The sequence below is a fragment of the Homo sapiens genome, chromosome 15, assembly GCF_000001405.40.
Source record: "Homo sapiens chromosome 15, GRCh38.p14 Primary Assembly".
Taxonomy (NCBI): Eukaryota; Metazoa; Chordata; class Mammalia; order Primates; family Hominidae; genus Homo; species Homo sapiens.
The window spans coordinates 69940484-69944089 of record NC_000015.10 but is presented as its reverse complement, the minus strand read 5'-3'; the positions used below and the strand labels follow the sequence as shown (position 1 = coordinate 69944089).

Below are 3606 nucleotides of genomic sequence, written 5' to 3'. Positions count from 1 at the left end.
CACAGTGGTGAGAGAAATGGCGATCTTATAGCTCCCAGGAATAACCATCTCCTGCAGCCCAGCTGTCTCCAGGGACTAGCTAATTTTGTCTCTGTGCTCACAGAATTGGCACATTTTTGCTCCAAGCTCCACCAATAATGTGACTGCTCCTTTCTCTGGGTCTTCATGTCTTTCTTTTGGCCTCACCTGGCAGAGTCTCCAATGTGCCTTCATGCAAATTCCAGAGAGGGTATCTGACTGCCGGCCCCAAACATCCTGATTTCACCCCAGTCTGGACACTAGTGGCATCTGGGGCAGGAGTTCTCCAGCCTCCTTCCCCTGGCCCTCTTAGCATTTGATCAGGAAAGGCCCTTGGTCAAGCCACAGTCCCTGAAGGGGATTGACATGTCTGGTCTAATATGCATTGTTTGGTGTGTGGGCTCCTTGAGGAAGGCAAGGGTGGCATGAGAAAGGTTCAGGAGTGAGCATGTGCTCCCTTTAAGCCCCCTGGTGTCTCCTGGCCCTCCAAGGGAAAACACTTTGCTGTTCTAAATGTCATTCTCTTCCCTTGCCCCCCCGCCTCTGCTGTGCCTCTGTTTCTGGCTGCTCCTGTCTGTGTCCCTCCGAAACTCTGGCTAGAGTCTCTAGCTGAGGGGCTTTGAGGTCTCCAGTATCCCAGGCCTGCCCAAGGGTGGCCTGCCCAAGGGTGGCCCGCCCTGTCTGCAGTGGGCCCACCCACCCCAGGACTTGTACCACCTTAGGTCTCTCCAATGACATGAAACTTGAGTGGGCTTCAGTGCGGAATTCCAGCCTGCAAATGAGGCGGGCATGTGTGTGCTGTCAGCAGCCTCCTCTCAGGTGGGCCCAGACAGCAGCCAGTCGGGGCGGGAGGGGGTCATTACCATCCTTGACAGGCTCCAGGAAGCATCTGCTTATGACTCAGGCTGTTTCTGTTTCTTCCCTCCCTTCTTTCTCACAACACACACACACACACACACACACACACACACACACACACAGAGTACAATCACACCTTTCCTCCAACCTTAAAAAAATATTAAAAATATCATGAAATATTTTCACTTTAATTGTCACAGGGAGAGCACAGCCTGCTGGTTTTCCTGCCTGCCTGATAATTAGTCTGCAGTCTTCTCCCAGCTCCTCACCAGCACGCTGGAGGGTGCGGAGCTAGATTGTGGGGGAAGTAATTACAGCGAGGACATCTCACCTACTGCAATACAAGAGGTGTGTGATTACCAACACCCAGACTTAAAGAGGGGTGTGTGTGACTGAGGTCCACCTTTGTCAGATCAGTCTCCTGCAGAGGGTCTGTTCCTTTGATCTCAGAGTCCTCATGGTGGGGGAGAACACCCTGTGTGATGCAGCAGATCTGGGGTCCACGGGACCCTCCCTGCATCAACACCCAAGAGGCTGTCAGCTGAGAAGTGAGCGAGGGGAACAGCAGGAGGGGCAGAAGAAGTGCTCTCCTCCTCACCTTGCACAAAAGCTCTGGTGCCAGGCCAGAAGGATTGTCCCCAGCTGCCTCCTGCACACCCCTTCAGATTGCTGCTCTGCCTTAATTTTCTTTTCAGGGTCATTGTTCCTGTTCTTTGAAACATGAAGCCCAAAGTTCATTTATTCATCAAACATTTATTGTGCACATGGTATGGGCCAGGCACTGAGAGAGGTGGGAGGGACAGAGATGAGCACATCACCGTCCTGCCTTCCCAAGCTCACTGTCTAGTGGAGAGGAAATCATGCCAACTAGCAACCACCATATGGGTGATGGGCTGGAATGGAGATAGGGGTGTTCCAGAAGCACCAGGGAGGGGCAACCCTCAGCTTTAAGCCATGGGGGTCACAGAGGAAGGCTCGCTGGCTGAGGTACTACAGGCTGGGCCTTACAGAACTGGCAAAGGCTAACGTGCAGACCACGGCCTTGAGACCACATGGCATGGAGGCCAATGCCAGGCAGACAGCCTTGTCAGGAGACTGCAGAAACGCCTGAGGCCTGGGGAGCCCAGCGCCACGGGCTCCATAGGAAAAGACAACTGCAAAATCAAAATGAGTAAATGGTCCATTAAATGCCTACAAAACGTGCTATTATGTCAACTAGTCAACTGCATCTCCACTCAACTCCTCCACACTTATATATAAAATATATTTAATGTGGCATGTGGGTAAATTGAATGGGTTTGACATGATTAGGGGCCAGGCCTCCCCAGGAAAATTCTAAACCAGCCCTGCTGGGGTAGCACAGAGGAGGAGGGACATGGCACGTAAAGGGGCAGCATGTGCAAAGTCAGAGAGCTGGGGAGCAGCACATCAGGCTGGGTTCCTAGGCAGGAGAGGGCCCAGCGGGAAGATGTGTGTATATGGTGGGTGGGGGCTGGGAGTCGGGGGTTGTACCCACAGGGGCCGTAGAAGCAGGAGAGGCAGCTGCTGACCACCCACATGATCTGAAAAGGGCCAGACAATGTCCCCATGACGGCCCTGCCTGTAGCTTTGGACACAGCAAGCTTTCCTGAAGCCCCAGATGCGGGCCTTGACTCTGGGTTTCCGTCGCATTCCCGCGCCCCCTGCGCACCCCTCCGTGGCCACCTCCGGGCGCCACTGAAGATAACTACGCATCCCACAATTCGCCGAGGTTTGTTTTCCCTCCAACTCCAGATGGCCTATCTGGGGACCGCCGAGGCCCTCGGGTGCGGGCCGTTGCCGTTTTTGATGAGCTGTGCACATATGGATACCCAAACATCTGGAGTGGCCATGTGCTGCGCAGGGCAGGCCAGCCCTGGCGAGCCAATCAGGGGCCCCGGGGCGCCGGGAGGCTGCATGGCCCAGCCAGTAAGCACGGATAAATTATTCATGACCAAGTTATTTGTGGTGCAAGGGGTCCATCAGCTACTTTGATTAAAAATCCAATGAGTAATGAATATGCAAACGCTAGCGACTGCTCCAAGCAACAGATTTGTCAAATTGTCTATACTTCACCGAGATAAAGGAAAATCTCCTGGGGTCCTGAAATTGAAAAACCGCACCGTCAAATCACAGCATTATCTTAATTATCAAATATCCTTGGCCATGCAAATACCCCGCATGAAGCTGAGCAGGGCGACGGGAAAAATCGACAGAGAGATATGTATTTGTCTTCCAAACCGGGGCCTGGCTAGTGAGAAACAGCTTAGTACAGAGGAGAAGTGATTTTAATTCACATGGTGACTCCACAGCCATTTAATTATTTTAATTAGGCTTAATTAGTGGTAAATTTACAATGATATGCTTGATACCTGGCATTAAATCTTTCATGCATAAATGTTTTGTTAAAATGAGAAAAAGGCAAGTGGCATTTCGCCAGCAATTACTGCTGAATGTTCTAATGAAGGATTAGGCTCCTCCGTGATTCATGAAGACAGGCGGGCACCAAACTTGTTTGTGAGGCACTGGCACACCATAACTCATGTGTTCCCACCCGAATCATCGCCGTCCTTGTCGCCACGGGGAGCACCTGCTTTGGGGGAGGGCTGTGGTGGTGGGGGCATGAGGGTTTTGGGGTCCTGGCTCAGAGCCCTGAGGCCCTCTGTGTGTGAGGTGGTTGGAGGGGCTCCAAGGGGCCCCCAGAGGGGCTTC

The 3606-nt window shown here is 52.7% G+C and overlaps 1 annotated feature.

Moving 5' to 3' along the window:
• Nucleotides 213-712: an enhancer, noted in NCBI's record as "H3K4me1 hESC enhancer chr15:70235717-70236216 (GRCh37/hg19 assembly coordinates)". NCBI's record gives its function as "activates a minimal SCP1, AML or CMV promoter by ChIP-STARR-seq in primed H9 embryonic stem cells {active_cell/tissue: H9 hESC(primed)}" and the evidence as "EXISTENCE:reporter gene assay evidence [ECO:0000049][PMID:30033119]".